At 54.4% G+C, this 18,123-nt stretch overlaps 1 protein-coding gene and 1 long non-coding RNA gene across 18 annotated transcripts in view, besides 5 other annotated features; one reads left to right on the plus strand and one right to left on the minus strand.

Moving 5' to 3' along the window:
• The window catches only part of CCDC33 (coiled-coil domain containing 33), a 133,474-nt gene that overhangs the window by 23,571 nt on the left and 91,780 nt on the right, over window positions 1-18,123 (plus strand). For 12 of the 16 annotated variants that reach the window (XR_001751401.2, XM_047433141.1, XM_011522085.4 and 9 more), the window contains one exon: window positions 17,416-17,579. Coding sequence is in view for 15 of the 16 variants with exons in the window: in XM_047433141.1 (XP_047289097.1) it covers window positions 17,416-17,579 (164 nt within the window). In the remaining variant the exon portion in view is untranslated. Of the gene's footprint in view, window positions 1-5,402; window positions 5,548-9,756; window positions 10,172-17,415; window positions 17,580-18,123 lie in introns of those variants that run through there. The other 4 variants (XM_005254692.2, NM_025055.5, XM_011522087.2 and 1 more) reach the window with 3 other exon arrangements.
• Window positions 5,024-6,936, minus strand: LOC105370893 (uncharacterized). 2 transcript variants are annotated; one of them, XR_932459.3, is made up of 4 exons: window positions 6,777-6,936; window positions 6,492-6,647; window positions 5,469-5,681; window positions 5,024-5,281 (listed from the first exon to the last, which is right to left on the minus strand). It is a non-coding gene; the product is annotated as an uncharacterized LOC105370893 (long non-coding RNA). The 2 variants fall into 2 exon arrangements; XR_007064710.1 differs by having other exon boundaries at window positions 6,492-6,782.
• Window positions 5,457-6,656: an enhancer, noted in NCBI's record as "CDK7 strongly-dependent group 2 enhancer chr15:74524367-74525566 (GRCh37/hg19 assembly coordinates)". NCBI's record gives its function as "activates an origin of replication core promoter dependent on BRD2, BRD4, P300/CBP, MED14 and CDK7 cofactors, with strong dependence on CDK7, by STARR-seq in HCT116 cells {active_cell/tissue: HCT116}" and the evidence as "EXISTENCE:reporter gene assay evidence [ECO:0000049][PMID:35650434]".
• Window positions 7,448-8,044: an enhancer, noted in NCBI's record as "H3K4me1 hESC enhancer chr15:74526358-74526954 (GRCh37/hg19 assembly coordinates)". NCBI's record gives its function as "activates a minimal SCP1, AML or CMV promoter by ChIP-STARR-seq in naive H9 embryonic stem cells {active_cell/tissue: H9 hESC(naive)}" and the evidence as "EXISTENCE:reporter gene assay evidence [ECO:0000049][PMID:30033119]".
• Window positions 12,407-13,002: an enhancer, noted in NCBI's record as "H3K4me1 hESC enhancer chr15:74531317-74531912 (GRCh37/hg19 assembly coordinates)". NCBI's record gives its function as "activates a minimal SCP1, AML or CMV promoter by ChIP-STARR-seq in naive H9 embryonic stem cells {active_cell/tissue: H9 hESC(naive)}" and the evidence as "EXISTENCE:reporter gene assay evidence [ECO:0000049][PMID:30033119]".
• Window positions 13,003-13,598: an enhancer, noted in NCBI's record as "H3K4me1 hESC enhancer chr15:74531913-74532508 (GRCh37/hg19 assembly coordinates)". NCBI's record gives its function as "activates a minimal SCP1, AML or CMV promoter by ChIP-STARR-seq in naive H9 embryonic stem cells {active_cell/tissue: H9 hESC(naive)}" and the evidence as "EXISTENCE:reporter gene assay evidence [ECO:0000049][PMID:30033119]".
• Window positions 17,385-17,886: an enhancer, noted in NCBI's record as "H3K4me1 hESC enhancer chr15:74536295-74536796 (GRCh37/hg19 assembly coordinates)". NCBI's record gives its function as "activates a minimal SCP1, AML or CMV promoter by ChIP-STARR-seq in primed H9 embryonic stem cells {active_cell/tissue: H9 hESC(primed)}" and the evidence as "EXISTENCE:reporter gene assay evidence [ECO:0000049][PMID:30033119]".

The following is an 18,123-nucleotide window of genomic DNA, read 5'->3' on the forward strand; positions in this document are numbered from 1 at the left end:
TGTAATCCCAGCACTTTGGGAGGTCAAGGCAGGCAGATCACAAGGTCAAGAGTTCCAGACCAGCCTGACCAACATGGTGAAACCCCGTCTCTACTGAAAAATACAAAAATTAGCCCGTCGTGGTGGCATGTGCCTGTAGTCCCAGCTACTCGGGAGGCTGAGGCAGGAGAATCGCTTGAACCTGGGAGGCAGAGGTTGCGGTGAGCCAAGATCACACCACTGCACTCTAGCTTGGGCAATAGAGCGAGACTCCATCTCAAAAAAAAAAAAAAAAGGTGGAGGACAGTGTGAGCAAAGGCGTGGAGGTATTCGAGGGACAAGCAAGTAGGGGGGAAACAGGAGGTGGAGAGAGCTGGTTCGTAGGATGGAGGTGGTAGGGAGTTGCAGGGGATGCCAATGGAATGCACAGGAGGTGCCATCTCTGAGTACTTCGAGCTCTGTACTATCCCCTCTGTACCAGAGGCTGCTCTGGGCCAGGCTGGCAGAGGTGGAACTTATATCACATTTGGCAGCCTGCAGAGCCCATTGGAGCATCATACTGGTCTTGGGAGGTAGGCAGGGTAACCTTGATAGAGCCCATTTTCTGAAGCAAGAAACTGAGCCCCTAGAGGAGATAGACAGCTTGCCCAAGGCAGTCAGTAGCAAGGTCAAGCTGGAATCCAGATCACCATATATTTTGGTCTTTCTGAGCCAGTAGTCAGCACACAGGTGGGAATGACTAACAGCATCCTTTCCCAGGGAGACTCACACTTTGCAAGCTGTTCCTTAGCCCATTTGCAAGCTGTTCCTCAGCCCATGCAGCACTAATGCTGGGCTTTCTGGGCACGTGAAAGGATCACGGGGAAGCACTTTGAGGGAGGAGATTTCTTCCTGGTGGCCCCAAATCACACCGAGTCCTGCCAAGACAGGTTACTTGGTATTACGCTGGCCCCAACAATGAGTGCTCATTTATTGCACTGAATGGTTTGGGAGCAAGGCTGGGGATGGAGTTGGGGCTGTCAGTGGCTCAGAGTCCCAGAGCAAACTCCCTGAACCACTGCTGTTGGCTAATGACACTTAGAAAAAAGTGTTGCATAAGTAGCCCTGGCCCATAATTAAGGCCTTTCCACCCTGTCTGAGAAGTGACAGTGAGTTACAGTCAAGAAGGTTCAGTAGACAAACTTTGGACTCAGGCTTGAGTTCAGGTTCCTGGTCTGCCTTGCAATAGGTGTTCCTGAGCAAGTCATTTTACTTCTCTGACTATTTTCTCATCTGTAAAAGGGGGATAATGATGTCTACTTGGCAATGTGGTTGTGACAATTAAATAACATTCTAGCCTCAGTGCAGTCCAAGAGGTCTCGGAGGAGAGGGGGTTCCAAAGACTTCCAGAACACAGGCAGCCTGGAAGCCACCCTGATTCACAGCCTTGGAGGCGGGGGTGGGGGGATGGGCCACCCATCTCCACCCCATTACCTCTGCAGAGAGGTGTTACTGATTCCTCCATGCAGGAAGCATTTGTTGAACCCTGATTCTATGCCAGGCCTGGCCTCTCAGAGCTCTTGGAAAGACAGGAGCACCACAGGGAGAGCACTGCAGTCCCTGGGTATAGAAGGGGAAGCAGCTGGACCCACCTTGTGGAGGCTGAAGGCGCAGTAGAGGGGTGGAAAGTATTTGATCAGGGCAGAAAGGCAGAGAGGAGAGTAGTGATGGGCTCTGGTTTCAATCCTTCTCTGCCCCCTCCAGCTGTGGGACTTCACCTCTCTGCACCTCCTTTCCTCATCTGTAAAATGAGGATGATAACAACACTCGCCAGCAGGACTGTTGAATTCAATGTGTAGTAAATTTAAAGACTATAGCCAATGCTCACAAAACGCTGGCCATTCTCGTGACGCCGAGTGAATGGCAGCTTGCCAGGTAGGCAAGGGTTGGACGGAAAAGCTTGAATAAAGACCCAGGGGCTGGAGAGACTGTGGCTTCTTTGGGGAACTTGGAAGCTCTCTGGGGAGCCAGTGATTGTGGGAGCAGTTGAGGGGCTGGGCCATGGGGCCCCCACTCCTTACCCCACCCGGAAGCCTGGTCTTGAGTCACTATTGGGCCAGTGGAGCTCACGGATGGGCATGGGAGCGAGGAGGTTGTAGACATTATTTTAATCTTCCTCTTAAAGCATAATTGCTTTTTGTCGGCGGGTGTTCCTGGAGACGCCTCCCCGTGGGATTGTTTTCCAGGCTCCTCTCTTCCAGGAGACAGGCAGGGGCCGGGCCAGCTCCACGCTGCATTAATACGCTGCAAATGCGATTTCATGGCCTCAAATGAGATTAGGGCCAGAGGCTCTGCTCTCTGGTAGAGATGGCGGGTGGTGTGAGCGAAGGGTGGCGGGCGCTGAGCAGGGAATCTGAGAGGGAGGGAGCCCGGGCTGACTTGGCCTGAGTGAGCAGTTTCCTGTAATTGGAGCCCCTCGGACTTGCTGGCGCATCCCGGCTGCAGAGCCAACCCTGAGGCCCTGTCCAGTGGGCGAGGTACCCAAGGCTGTCACCCCCACCCCCAGGCTCCCCACAAGCACCTCAGTAAGGAGAGTGCTGTGATTAAGGCCACAGTCTCTGCAGCTAGGTGGCCTAAGTCTGAAGCTTGCCTCCATTTTCTTATCTTTAAAATGGGGACAACAAGCTGGGGGCGGTGGCTCACGTCTGTAATCCCAGCACTTTGGGAGACCGAGGCAGGCAGAACACTTGAGGTCAGGAGTTCGAGACCAGCCTGGCCAACATGGTGAAACCCAGTCTCTACTAAAAATACAAAAATTAGCCAGGCGTAATGGCAGGCACCTGTAATCCCAGCTACTTGGGAGGCCAAGGCGGGGGAATCGCTTGAACTTGGGAAGCGGAGGTTGCAGTGAGCCAAGATCCCACCACTGCACTCCAGCCTGGGTGACAATTGAGACACCGTCTCAAAAAAATAGAAATAAAAATAAAATAAAGTGGGGACAATAGTAGCACCTACCTCATATGTCATTGTGAGGACTGAGTTAACGTATGTAAAACACACAGAATATTGCTCACTGTTAGCTATTATTATGAGGTTCCTATACACACCCGTGCATGCCCTAGCAAGGCGAGAAGGCACTGGGGGCTTGGACTGTGGAGAGGGAGGGTTTGGGGGAGCAGGCATCACTGTCCCAGGCTGAAGTAGCAGGAAGGAGGAAGATACTTGACACAAATGTCATCCCTCACTCATACATCAAGCACCCATCTGGTGCCAATTCTGCACCAGGCAACATGCTGGGCCCTGGGGACATGGTCCCCGCCCTTGGGGAAGATAGATCCTGTCCCAGAGAAGCCCACAGTGGATCATGAGCCAGGGCAGGGGAGGCCCATGGGCTGTGGATCTGATGTCCCTGAGGTCGGGTGGGGGAAGGTTGCAGCGAATCTTTGTGCAGGTTGTGCACAATTCAATTGTGTCTTGAATTATTCAGGCTGGCTGGGGAAGAGGGATGGCCCAGGCACATGGAACAGTAAAGGTGAAGGCCTGAAGGCTGGAGAGACCACTGCTCCTTCACAGGGACCACAGGCATGTCATGAGTGTGGGTGTGAGGGCCTGGGGTGAGCAGACCAGGAGGCTGGCAGGGGTCCCCTGCAGTGATGGGGTCCTACTAAGGTGTTTTTTGAAGCAGAGGAGGGCCTTGGTCAGATTTGGAGGTTGGAAGAGTTGGGGTGAGGGGACACAGGTTTGCTGGAAACAGGTTGAGCCTATTGTCCCCACCCCAAGGCCTCTCTGCCCTCTGAGTAGACCCCCCACCCAACCTTGGCAGAGCACTGCTTCTGCCCCTCCTGATGGAAGGAAATGGCAGGCAGCTTCATTGCTCACTCCTTTATTCAGTCCCTTGTTACACGAGTTATTGATTTTTCAAAAGAAAAATGCCCAAAAGCAACGTTGCATCTTTAGCAAAGTGATTTATGACATGATGGAGGGAGCTGGGCCGCCCCAAATGAGAGCTGTGGTTGCCAAATGCCAAGAGGAATCCTTCAACATGGCAATCCATAAACGTGCCTGCTAAGCAAATGGAAGCCGCGTTGTCCAACAACGAGAACATCACACTCTACTCGTCACCCCCAAGTCTCCTGTTGCCAAAGCTTGGGCCAGAGGTGCTCCATCTTGGCATACATTGGTGTAAGTGTGAGGGAAAGCTCACTGTGGGGCTGCCTACCATGTGAAGGCATCCATTCTCTTATCTAATCCTCGCCACCACCCTGCACAGAGCCTGCTGGTAGACCTGCTCTGCAGATGAGGAATGGGAGGCTCTGAGGGATCAGGGGGTTTGCCCAAACCCTCACTCCGGTGCCTGGCAGAACCAGGGTTAGAGCCAGGCCTGACAGATTCCAAGTCATCATGCTTTTTTTCTTTGCTGCCAAATCTTTTTGCCTATTTGGTGGTGACCAGAGCCCACAAGAACTAGGTGCAGCAAGAGAGGGTCAGGACTATCACAAAGTCTGCTCTGAGACAAAACACAGATACACAAGGGTTTAGCCCAGTAGCCGTTTACTGAGCTGATAGAAGTCACCTCTGCACGGCAAGCAACCAGGGAAAGGTCAGAAGGGCAGGCCCCCAGAGCCTCCAGGATCCCACCCTGGCCCACTCAGCAAGCAGACCCTAAAGACAGCAGCCTGCATCTAACAGGCTTAGCTGGAAATGGGAGCGAGCTACATTAGTGATAGAGTCACAGTCTGGGGTGTTATGACCCCACCAGCCCTCATAATCAAACAGCCCTGCAGCCCCTCTGTGCTGGATAGAAGTGATGTCCTCCAGGCCCCCTGGCTCTGCCCTTGCTTATGGGGGCCGGCCAGCCATGCCCAGCTGAGCCTCTGGGGCACACCACCTCAATCTCCTTTGACACCAGTGTCTGCAGGCTGCACTGCCGCAGAGCCATTGGTCTGGCCTCATTCAAAAGGCCAGGTGTTTTCATCTCTGGTCTTGAATTTTTCATGCTGCCCCAGTTTCTGGAGAGAGGAAAGGAGAGCTGCGACTCCTTTCCCAGAGTGAAAGGAAAAGGCAGCGTGGTTTGGTGGTAATGATCTCGGACTTTGGAGCCAGCAGGCCTGGAGTCAAATCCCAGCTGTGCCGCCTCAAAGCCGTGTGACCTTGGGCAAGTCCATTCCCTCAGAGCATTTGTGTCCTCACCTTAAAAATGGACTCTGGCCAGGTGCGGTGGTTCACGCCTGTAATCCCAGCAATTTGGGAGGCTGAGGCGGGTGGATCACTTGAGGTCAGGAGTTCGAGACCAGCCTGATCAACATGGGAAACCTTGTCTCTACTGAAAATACAAAAAATTAGCCGGGCGTGGTGGCATGCCTATAATCCCAGCTATTGGGGAGGCTGAGGCAGGAGAATCACTTGAACCCAGGAGGCGGAGGTTGCAGTTAGCTGAGATTATGCCACTGCACTCCAGCCTGGGAGACAGAATGAGACCCTGTCTCAAAAAGAAAAAAGAAAAGACTCACAGCAATAACTCCGGGAGCGTAAATGTGAGGATGAAATGACATGGCGCAGGTCAACTCTTGGCATGAGACCTGGCACACAGTAAGTGCTCACTAAAAGTTGGGGGTGTGAAGGGGCTGGTGGTGACGATGACAGCAGTAATACCAGGACATCAGGCGGGGCGAGAGATTGGGCCATGGAGAGGGGCTCACACAGCAGGTATATCAGCCAGGGTCCTGCCAGGAAAAAGAAGGCATTCAAATTCAGGAGCTTGAGGGGAGTTTAATAAAGGGACTATTTACAATACTGAGGGTGGGGTTTAGGAAAAACAAGAGGGAGACTACAGCGCCTTGGGGGCTGGAACCTGTGAGAAGCCTTCCCTGACTCCTAGGTTTGAAGAGACAAGAGGGAACAATGACCATAACCTGGAAAGGCACTTGTATGGAGAGAGTTGGCTGCCAGGCAGAGTCCAGGAAAGTGTGCCTCTCTCCCAGAGCCCCCACACTTGGCCTTCTCTTTTCCTGACTCTTGCCCCTTCCCCCATATCTCCCTATCACTCTTTCTCCATTGCTTTTGGGCAGCTGAGTTGGATGAGGTGGGAAATGTAGGCAGTGTGATTTTATAGCAAATGGCAGCTCATAGCTGTGTGATCTTGGGCAAAATGTTAACCCTCTCTGAGCTTTGGTTCCCGTCCTTATCCAGTGGGAGAATCAGGACTGCTCTGAGGGCCGAATGAGACCATGAAGGTAAAGCTCTTAACGCGGACAGTGAAGTCCCCCAGACGTGCTTGCTTTTTTCCCTGCTAACCAACTTTGGACTTGGTGAGTTCTCCCCCACTGGAATGGGCCAGAGAAGTGAGAAATGGCCATGGGGTGAAGTCTGCATGTCTCCACCAGCGCTTGAGCCTTCACACCCACCCAGACCAGATATCATCCCAGGCCCACTTGCCCTCTTCTCTATCCCCTCTCTGTTCCCGGCTTCCAGGCCCACGCCCATGGCCGCACCTTTCTCAGGTAGCCCTTCAACAGAAATGTCCCCTTTCCTACCTAAATCCAATGTGTTCTCAGGGTCCTGCTCAAGGCCCTTCATCCCGGAGGCCTTCCTCGACCCCTTTATCTCCTGCTCTGAACGTGTGTGCAGTCCTCCTGGTCCACAGCAACACCTCCTGTGTGTGTGCTGCTTCTGGAGCTGCAAGTTCACTCCTGGTATGTAAGAAACATGAGGCAGGGGCGTGGGACCAGGGCAAGTCCCTGCCCCTCCTTTGATTATTTTGACTGTTGTCTACTGAAGCATTTCCTTTAGAGGGTCTCTATGCTCCCACTGCCACGCACCCTCGGCCCCAGTGGTGTAGACAGCAGGTCTTCACTTGTTGGCTGAAGGATGGAAAACTCTGAGAGGGCTCCCCGCTCTGAATCCACCGGCTGCTGGCCAGGACCTTCGAGGGCTGCTCTGACCTCATATAAGTTATGAGGCTCAGCCTCAGGAGTTTCTGCAGAGAGATTGGAGAGCTGGCTTTGCCCTGTGCTTCCACAAGGGCTCTAACTGGGCCCCTTGAGGCCAGTTCACACCCCACCCCTTAAGGTGCTGAGCTGGGTTTAAACTGAAGTCACTGCCACCCAGAGCTGCACTAGAGAGAACTTGCCAAGCCCAAGGTTGGTTAGCAGGGAAAAGCGAGCATGCCTGGAGCTCATAACCATCCGTGTTAAGAGCTTTACCTGCGTGGTCTCATTCAGCCCACAGAGCAGCCCTGATTGCCTCACTGAATAAGGATGGGAACCAAAGCTCAGAAAGGGTTAACATTTTGCCCAAGATCACACAGCTTTGAGCTGCCATTTGCTACAAAATCACACTGCCTACATTTCCCACCTCATCCAACTCAGCTGCCCAAATGTGGGGGTGGGACAGGACTCACAGGGAAGGAAAGGCCAAGTCAGGAGGCGGGGGCGTCTCTGGAAGACAGACACACTCCCCTGAGTCTCATTGCATGGGTAGTTTGTCCTCACAGGCTGCTTCCTCAGACTCCAGGCCCCAGACATGGCATGAGGAAGCAGGGCTGACTATGAGCCACATCTGTCTACCCAGATTCTTCTTGCTGTCCAGCCAGCAAGATCCCTCCTTCCCCAAGAGCCAGCCCCAGATCCAGCCTCAGGGGCTTGCCCCTCCCAGAACTATGGGCTCTCTAGTGGCCACATTTAACCCCTGGCCCCTCCTAGTGATATAGCTCCAAGTGCTGTCTCCTGTGGGTAGGGGGTGGGCACAGTTATCTATTAGCTGTGAGATTAATCATTCCCTGCTCTCCCTCACCCTGGAATCTCCCTGAATCATCACAGCTTGGGGCTGGCCCCTGGACATTTGAGGAGCAAGCCCACTTCTCTGGGCTGGGGATATAGAGCTCACCTTGCTGGAGGAAGGGGAGGAGAAGGTAGAGCAGCTGGGCTCATGCTGCTAAGGCCTTCTCACAGGCAAGGAGGAAGCAGCTCTCGGGGGAGGTTAGGACAGGCACAGGAGCTGGTGTCTCAGGGGTCCTTGGTCTGGGGAGGTGAACAACCAGCAAGTCAGGAGGTAGAAGGGCCCTACTGGTGGCTGCTGAGTGCACAGGGCCCACTTGCACCCTGGAGCCAGACGGCCTGGAACCAGTGCCCAATCGCATTATCTTCCCAGGCAGGAAGATGGCAGGGGCGTGGCTGCAGAGGCAGAAAGCTCAGATGCCAAGGAGGGTAGCTGGGTGAGAGCCCCGAGCCCCGGGGACTGAGGCAGAGCTGCAGGGCAGGGCAAGGACCACAGTGAGGCAGGCAAGGTGGCCAGGGCACAAAATGTGAGGCTCTGTGTCGGGAGCGGAGCGCTCGCACAGCCCTGAGAATGAGTGCTTCATTAAAGTTTGCTTCCTAGGCACCTGGCTTGCATCTTCAGTCCTGCTGCTAGAGAAGGAGCAATGGCTCCCCACCCCCTGAACCTGCTGCCCTAGCCTCCTAGACTAAGCAGGCCTGAGAGGTTGGGGGAGATGCGCTCTAGAGAGACTGGGGGAGCAGCCACTGAGACCTTTCCACACATACACACTGTGCTGGGACATGTTGGCCCACAAGGGAGATAAAGCACAGTGCTCACAGCCAGGCCATTCCTGGTCAGGCCCCCAGCCCCAGAGCCCCAGGAGTACCACTCTTGGCAGGCCTAGACGGGGAGAAAATTAGGAGTGGGGTTCCTGACTACCATCCCCCACCAGTGTCTGGGTGACCTTGGCTGGTCCTTTCAGTTCTAATCAAAAGCAAAGCCTCAGTTTTTCTGTCTCTAAACTGGGGAGAACCACATCCTTGCTGCTGCTCTCTCTGGAGTGGGGGTAGAGAGGGAGGCTGGGAGGCCTCTGCAAAGCCGGAGTCTCCTGCCTCCTGGCTGCCAGGCTGGTCCTGCTCTTCGGCCAGATTAAAAGAATCTCCAACTTGGGGCCCAAAATAGGTAGAAATGAGGCAGGCCACAGGGGCCCCCCAAACACTTCTGAACACTGCCCAGTACCCCAAATCCCTCCTCTTCTAGCCCAGGATTTCTGATCATTCTTCGAAGCCCAGTTCAGACCTCACCTCTCTATAGAGCAACCCCCCACCCCAGGCCAAGGACTAGTCTCTCTTCATTCTGCCATCTCACCTCACCAAAAGCACTTAGGACCCTGCCTGGCGTGCAGCAAATGCTCTTTGTCTTTGTAATAATTTCTTGCAGTGCTCAGAACTGAACCATAATCTTTGGTTCGTACTCTAGTGCCATCACTGACCCATCATGGCTTTCTTTAATTGTTTAATTATAATTTATTTTCAATAATGTAATGAATTTCCATTAACTGACCACCCAATCTAAAAACCCAAAAGTTTAGAATGTATGCTCTTACCCTCTTCTCTCCCCGATCTTCCCACCCACCCTCCAAGAAGAAACCATCCTCTTGAAGTTTGTGTTTATTATTATCAAATAAATGGAAGACTATAGGTACCCAAAGAGGCACGATGGCTGGTAGATTCTTCAACAGAAGTAGCTGTTTTACCGATCAAGCTGCAACACTCTTGAGAGCAGTGTCTGCTTCCTCTTTTGCTGCAGCTTGAGCAGCATGGGGCTGGCCACACCACAGGGTTGGTGGAGACTACTTGAGGCACCAAGAGCAGGAAGGGTGGGGCCTGAGTGCCAGGCGGCAGGTGGAACACAGCTCCAGGAATAGGGAAAAGGGCTTCGCGTTCTAGCTCACTGCACCTGGACAGGTGCCTGTGTGACTTCGGCCCTGCCCTGTGACATCACACAGTGTTGCCCAGGTGACCCAGCTAGGTGGAAGAGCTTATTGTTTTCCAGGCCTGGGCAGAGACAGGGCCCCCCTGCCCCATCTCTCCACCGTCCTAGGTGTGCCAAGAGTCAATTGCCTCATTGCTGACCCTGTCCAGCTGGCCATGGCCCTCAACCCCCAAGGCCCTTCCACCCACAGACCATCTCGCTGCTGAGAGATCCAGGACCTGCTCCCACCTGGCCACCCTCCCCCTCCCCCCACATCCAGGCCCCAGGGCTGGTGTGTGGCACCCCTGAGACCACATTGACCTCCATACTGTCTACTACCCATAAGGACTCCAAGACGCCCAGGCCAGCTGTCTGGGCAGGACTGATTCCTGATCACCCACTGATACCAAGTACTCATCCCCAAGATTGTTAAACAAGGCCAGACACTCCTGGCCTCAAGAGGATGGGACTGAAAAACAAAAAGGTAAGGCCAGGGGCATGGGCCATGCACCTGCATGAATCCGTCCCTCCTTCAAAGTCCTTCCTTCAAAGTTTTGTTTGCTCCTTAATCATGACAAAAGCTTCCCTTCCCTGGGTCTCAGTTTTCACAGCTGTGAAATGGGGAGTGAGGTGGTCTCTGTGGCTCTCCCAGGTTAGCTGCCCTATACTCTTGGGCCACACGGGAACTGGAATGCAGTGTACTTGCAGGTGTTGTCAATGCTGACCACCCTTACCTGGTTGTTTCTGCACTCTTATTGCTGGGGTCACACAGTCTGAGAGCCCACTGAGATGGTTCATTACCCCTGTCCAAGATCTCCCAGGAGATTCCCAGGCTGCTGGCTTGGCAGCCCTGATGCCCCCATTGCCCCCATGCTCTCCAATCCCTGGCCCTGATTTTCTGGGGCCTAGGCCCCTGTCCTGGAACACAGATGCTTGGGTCTCTGAAGAGAAGGGATTTTTGTGTGTTTTGTTGATCACCGTATCCCCAGCACTCAGAACAGTGCCTGGCACATAGTGGGTGCTTAATAAAAAGCTGTGGCCCAGCAGCAGGGCTCTGTCAGGAAGGGACTAGAATCTCAGTGTGATGAGATGTAAACAGTTGAATGTAAGGGACCCCTTACCTTCCTCTCACTAGCAAGGCTGAGCCCCTGCCCTAGATGGTGTTAACCCACAGGGATAGCAGAAGGAGCTGAGACCAAAGGCACACAGATACTTGCAAATGGGGGATACCCTCTTTGTAGTTACACTCAGGTTGAATAAGCCAAATAGCTGGGGGTGCCCAGGCCCTAGTGTGATTTCCACTTCATTACTCTTGATTTTGATGTCTCTGGTTCCTGATGTTCTCTGCCCACAGCTGCCCCCCACCCCCTGCAGACTCTGCCCTCCCCATTAAGCCTCTTTCTGTAATGCCACACACTCAGAACCGGTCACCAGGTTGACCTGGCACCCTAAGCTGCCAGCTGGTCCCCACCTGCCCCACAGAGCTGGATTTGGGGATCTGGGGAGTGTGCGTGGGAGTCCTGAGGAGGAGCCAAGGTTGCTTTGATTAGTAGCTTTGAGAAGCGCTTTTGATAGCTGGGTAGAATCGCCTATAAGGATGCTCATCATGGCCGGGGGTGGTGGCTCACGCCTGTAATCCCAGCACTTGGCGAGGCCGAGGCAGGAGTTTGAGACCAGCCTGGCCAACATGGTGAAACCCCATCTCTACTAAAAATACAAAAATTAGCTGGGTGTGTTGGTGCACGTCTGTAATCCCAGTTACTCAGGATGCTGAGGCAGGAGAATCGCTTGAACCTGGGAGGCAGATGTTGCAGTGAGCCGAGATCACGCCACTGCCCTCCAGCCTGGGCAACAGTGTGAGATTCTGCCTCAAAAATAAAAGGACGTTGGCCAGGCCTGGTGTCTCACTCCTGTAATCCCAGCACTTTGGGAGGCCAAGGCAGAAGTTCGAGACCAGTCTGGCCAACATGGTGAAACCCCGTCTGTACTAAAAATACAAAAATTAACCAGGCGTGGTAGCGGGCACCTGTAATCCCAGCTACTCGGGAGGCTGAGACAGGAGAATTGCTTGAACCCAGGAGGCGGAGGTTGCAGTGAGCCGAGATAGCACCACAGCACTCCAGCCTGAGCAACAAAGAGCAAAACTCCATCTCAAAAAAAAAAAAAAAAAGGATGCTCATCATGTATATATAATACATATTTGTGTTTCTTCTTTTGTGAATCCCCAGTTCATGTTTTTTAAATTGGATAATGTTTATAGGTTTCAGTGCTCTTTGTATACTAGGGATATTAATCCTTTTTTAAATATGCAGCAAACATTTTCTCCTTTTTTTCTTTTCTTTGTATTGCAGGGCATTTTGGACCATTATAGAAGTTAGTATAGATTTTTAAAATGTAATCAAACCTATCCCTTTTTAATGATTTCTGACTTTTGTGTCATCTTTTGGAATGCTTCTCTGCTCCAAAGAACATAATTCCTCTTGCTGCCACCAATGGATACTCAGATTATGAGTTCAGGGGGGCATCCACTGTGGAGCAGAGAAGGGATCCACATCCAAGGAAGCATGGTTAGAGCACAGCAGAGACAGCAAGAGTGTGGGGTCAGACAGACCCAGCTTCCAGTTCCAGCCCTGGCCTCACTAGCTAAGCTGTGTGCTTTCATACAAGAGGTTTACTTTCTCTGAGTGTGCTTCCTCACCTGTGAAAGAGCTTTCCCCTGGCCGCCATAACTCTCAGGCAAGTTTAGATGTTGAAACTAGAAGGAACATGGGGGACCATTTTTAACTGAAAGTCCTTGTGAAACTGCTGGGAAATAGCCCCACTGCAGTCAAGTAACTTGCCCAAATGACAGATCCGGGCAGCCAGGCACCCTGCCTCCCAGCCCAGCCCCGCTCCAGCTAGTGTGACTTTTCAGACACACGGCCCTTCTAGAGGGCAGAACTGGGCTCAGCTCCTCAGGCCTCCCAGGCTGCTGGAGGATAGGGAGGAGTGGGTGGAAGAGTTTGTCTCCTTCCATCTCTCTCCCCACCAGAACCAAGTTAAGCACCCCCCAACCCACCCGCGGGAGCTGAATTCAAGGACCATTAACTCCCTGTTGTTCCTACCTCCTCCTCTCACCCTAGCCCTTCCCCCCAGCACATGGATCCAAAAATGCCCTAAGTGATGGGCAGTCCTAGTTCCCCTGCAACATCTGCTGGCTAATCCTGGCCTATTGAGGGCAAGGCTGCCTGTCTGTTTGGATAAGGGCACTGGAGTTAGCAGCTTCCAATCTTGCCAGGCCCAGTGGAGTAGCTGAGAGTGCTGAGCTTTGGAATCAGGCTTGCTTCGGTGCTCACAGCCCAGCCTCTCATCCACTGGCTGTGTGGCCTTGGGCAGGTAAACTGGCCAAACCCCTGCCTGGAAAAGCTGCCTGCTGATCTCTGCACCCTAGCAGTGTTGGGTGGGTTAAGTGAGAGGGAGCCTGAGAAGCTGATGGTGAGCATCCAGCTTTGCTCCCAGCCAAGAGGAGGCATGAATTCCCTCCCCAGGGCTCACCACACCCCTACAGATGAGTTTGTGCAAACTGAGAGTTACGGGGGGGGTACCCCATCACCCCCAGTTCCCTACCACTCATGTAACCCAGTATATGCATTTTCTGTTCCCTCATCAATCCTCTAGTGCAGGCCAGGGGTAACAGATGGGTCGAGGACATTGGTTCTGATGCAGGACATCTCTGAGGGAAGCCTGCAGATTCCCATCCAGACATGGGAATAAAAAAGGGATAGCAGGAGGTTAGCAGCCCTGGCCCACCATCCCCCTTCTGGCCTTACCCTTGGCCCCAAGCCTCCCTGGCCCTGGGCCCAGCCTGCCCAGCGGGCACATGCCTGCAAGCCTCACCAGGAGGCGCCAGCCTGGCAGTTGGCCTCATGCCCAGAACTGAAACACAATAGTTCTCGCCAAACTTCCTGCAAGCTTTATTCCCAGAAGGGAAGGCTGTCCCCGAGGGGAGGTGCAGGGGAGATAGAGGAGGAGCCGGTGTGACTCCTGGCCAGGTCTGCAGATGCCTAGTTGGGCTCTGGGGCTGCCAGGGAGCCAATGAGAGCCCCTGGACAATGGTCTTACTCCTGGGCCCTCCCTTTCATGGCCCTAGGGAGCTCATGAGAGGCCCTGTGCCCTCACAGCAAGGTGAATCCATCTAGGAACATGAATCACCCCTCCCAGCCTCACTGCAGGAACTTCAGGCACAGTAACCACTGGAAAGGCTGAATCACAAACTATTCCAGACATTCCCATTGGCCAGGTGGGAAAATCAAGGCTCAGGGAGGTGGTACAGAGAGGTAGGGCCAGAGCTGAGCTGAAACCTAGGTCTTTTTTTTGTTGTTGTTGTTGGAGTCTCACTCTATCACCCAGGCTGGAGTACCATCTTGGCTCACTGCAACCTCCGCCTCCTAGGTTCAAGCAATTCTTCTGCCTCAGCCTCCCGAATAGCTGGGATTACAGCCTCATGCCACCGCACCTGGCTGATTTTTGTATTTTTAGTAGAGATGGGGTTTCACCATGTTGGCCCGGCTGGTCTCGATCTCCCAGCCTCCAGTGATTTGCCCGCCTCGGCCTCCCAAAGTGCTGGGATTACAGGCGTGAGCCACCACACCCGGCCAAGTTGAAACCTAGGTCTTTTTGCCCTGAGGCTGCCAGCCTTACTCCTGTGCCACTAAACCAGGAGAGCAAGGCTGCTGGGGAGTGGGGGGGTCATGGTGGCCTGCATGAGGGTGGATATGGGAGGAAGCTGCCTACCCAGGAGGGCAGGGAACAGCACTCTGGCTGCTCCTCCTCCTTCACCTCCAGGCAGGGGCATCTTCCCCTCCCCTCATTCTCCCCTGACAGGAGCATGGGGGAGAGAAGGAGGGGCAACCCTCATCAACACCTCTGTAGATGGTGACAGGCCCTGCTGGGTCCTGGAAGAGGGTGGGGGTGGCCTCCTCAGTCAGAGGAAGGAGAGGGGGGCCTCTCTGCAGGACTGGCACTTCTGATCTGGGGGGCATGTATTCTCACCTCCTAATTAGCCATCTTGCTAGGCAAGGACCACAGCCTGCACCAGGCAAGCCAAGGGAAGTAGGGGAGCAAGGCACAGGGATGACAGTTCTGGAGTGACACCCAGGGTGGAGCAGAGGAAACAGCTAGGGCAGAGGCGGGGAGGCAGGAGGGAGCTTGGTAGGTGTGAGAAACAGCCAGGAGGCCAGTGTGGCTGGAGCGGAGTGACCCACAGGGCCCGTGGGACAAGATGAGGTCAGTTTTCTGGGCCAGCTCCTGGAGGGCCCCACGGGCCATTGCAAGGCTCTGAGAGAAGCAGCAAGCTACTTCAGGGTTCTGAGCAGAGGAGAGAGAGGGTCTGGGTCCAATCTGTAAAGGCTCACTCTGGCGATTGGATGGGGTGGACGGAGAGTCGGAGAGGAAACAGAACTCCATCAGAGGCGAGTCGGGACATACAGGTGTCTGGGACCTGAGTGCTGACCTGAGGATGCTGAGAAGGGTCAGAGTCCAGATATAGTTTGAAGGTGGAGCTGACAGGATCTGCTGAAGAACTGGATAAGGGATGTAGAGGAAGAGAGGGAAGAATCAGGAAGGACTCCAAGATGTGGGGCTTGAACAACTAGAACAATGGCATCGCCATTAACTCATTAACGAGTTGGGGCAGACAGCAGGAGGAGGGGTTTGAAGGGGAGTCCAGAGTTCGTTAGCTTTGAGAGGCCAGTAGACCCCCAAGGGGAGCTGTTGAGGGGGTGTGTGGCTCCGATTGGTGGGCACCCCACGCTACCGTGAGAAATGGATGAAATAACGTTCCTAAAACTCCTCGGGGCAGAGCAGAGCCTCAGGCACTGTGCCCTTTTCTTTCTGTCTGCCTGAGGCTTCCAGGAGCCAAGGCTCAAGGTAGGAGCAGAGCAGCTTCCAGATAGGTCGGTCCAAGTCCTCATCTCCCCACTGGGGAAACTGACTCTCAGAACATGGCTGGCTTTGGGGCCCAGCATGGTGAGAGGCAGAGCTGGTTTAAACCTACCTCTCCTGACACTCAGGGCTCCTCAGGAGCCGGCCATTCTGAGCCAAGGACCCAGCCTGCCGAGGCTGCCACCAAAACCAGAGCCCGTCCAGGGCCCAGGTCCTTGCTCCTGTCTGGGCCTCAATTTCCTCTCTATGTAATAGGACATTGTTCTCAACCCCACCCAACCAGGGCCTGCCCTGGAATGCAGGGTCTGACAGGCTGAGCTTTCCAGAGATGAGGAACAGCCTGCCAGTGGCCCCTCAGGGCCCTGCCTCCACCCTGAGGAGGTCCATTGCTCCTCTCCCAGAGCCAGGAGTGCCCCTCTATGGCCCCTCATATCAGCTGGAGGGACAAAGGGTAGGCAAGACCTCCTACCACGGGAGGCCTATCAAGGGTTAATCTGTGTCAGATTAACTGGAAGTGGTGAGTCAGCCAGCCGGCCAGTGGAGGACCAGGGCCAGGGAGGACAAGGACACCCCTGAGCCACAGCAGCCTCATGGCCACACCCCTCCCCACCCCACCGCGTTTATATGCCCAGCTCTGCCGTCTTCTCTGAGTCCCCACTGCCTCCCCAGTCAAACTGAGCCACCTCTGGGCCTTGGAAAGCTCTGCCCCTTCCCGCTTGCTGCCTTCGCTCCAGTGTTCTGCTCCTGGCCTGTCCTCCCTGACTCCACTCCTGCACCTTCTCCCAACCCTTTAAGGCCTCCTCCTCCCTGCTGTCTTCCCTGACCGCCTCAGCCGGCCAGGGCTTTGTCTTCTCTCAGCAGCTCTCGTTAAGATGGTCCTTTGGGCCATGAATCCACAAGTTACTAAGCTGCTGAGTCCCTGCTTGGGGCAACTGGTGTAGGAAGCCCCCTGCATGGGCAGGCACCTCTTCCTCCCTAGTCCGCAAGTTTCCTGGGTAGAAGACAGGTGGGGCATCTGGGACAGACACATGCATTCACCTCCACGTAATGCACTGAATGCCCCCATGAACGTGGAGAAGCTTTGTCAGCTGTAAAGTGCTGTGCACAGGAGGGACCTGAGGTGATGGGTGAGCTGAGGTGAGGTTACAAGATAGACTGAAGAAGGTGGCCCATTGTTAGGACTGCAAAAGCAGGTGGGATTTAGGAATTACAGACGAGGACACCTGCGAAAGCTAAGGCTTAGAAGTGGGACCAGACTTGAAAGGTGAGGTGGCCTGTCTCATCCTGCAGGAAGGGTAGGATCCAGGACTAGAGGAGAGGCACTGAGAGAGACGTGGGATGGGGACAGAAGTAGGGAGAAAATGGGGCCAAGGCGACTGCCTTGCAGAGTGGGCGGAAGGGTGACAGAGGGAGGCAGGCACTTGACGGAAGCTGTGAGTGGCTAGTGCTAGAGGGTGGCAGTGAAGGGAGGTGCCGCAGCAGAGGAGGCCACTCAGGGCCAGGTGCAGTAACTCATGCCTATAATCCCAGCACTCTGGGAGGCCGAGGCAGGCAGATCACCTGAGGTCAGGAGTTTGAGACCATGGGGAAATCCCGTCTCTACTAAAAATACAAAAATTAGTTGGATGTGGTGGCACATGCCTGTAATCCCAGCTACTGTGGAGGCTGAGGCAGGAGAATTGCTTGAACCTGGGAGGTAGAGGCTGCAGTGAGCCAAGATGGCACCACTGCACTCCAGCCTGGGCAACAGAGCAAGACTCTGTCTCAAAAAAAAAAAAAAACACTCAGCCCTGGCTCTCCCCACAGAACACTGAAGACCCAGAGGAGCCCCTGATCGCCTCCCAGAGCACGGAACCTGAGATCGGTCACCTGTCTCCCTCTAAGAAGGAGACCATCATGGTCACCCTCCATGGGGCTACCAACCTGCCTGCCTGCAAGGATGGCTCCGAGCCGTGGCCCTATGTGGTGGTGTAAGTAGCTGCGTGAGAGTGGGGGCAGGGGATGGGTTGGGCTGTGAGCAGAAACCAGGGGACAGCTATTTGGAATACTAGCACCCAAAGGCCCAGGACTGGGACTGTCATACCCAGAGGGGAGGAGCTGCTGTGGGCACTACCTGGCATCTCCGCTGCTGCATGGGAAGCTGCTCACCAGGGCTGGGGAAGACAGGGTGCCAACGGATCCAGAGAGTCACCCCTCCCCACCCCACACCAGTGGGGCAGGGATTGGTCACAGCTCAGCTCCAGTGGGGCAGGTTCCTTGTATGCAAAAGTCTGGGCTGGGCTCATGGGCATGATGGTCAGATTGGGGAAGGGGAAGATTTGGGACCTGCCTCTCCTGACTTCTGGGTGCCCCACCCCACCATACCCAGCCCTGGGGTAGGGTCCTCATAACCACCCTCCCCTCCTCCCCTCCTTCTCCAGTCACTTCTATTATGGGGACTCCCCTAGTTCTGGGCCTTTAATGCACCCCACACACCCCCTCCAGCCAGCTGCTGTCAGGGTACACACTTCCCCA

Source organism: Homo sapiens, chromosome 15 (assembly GCF_000001405.40).
Source record: "Homo sapiens chromosome 15, GRCh38.p14 Primary Assembly".
NCBI classification, from domain to species: Eukaryota; Metazoa; Chordata; class Mammalia; order Primates; family Hominidae; genus Homo; species Homo sapiens.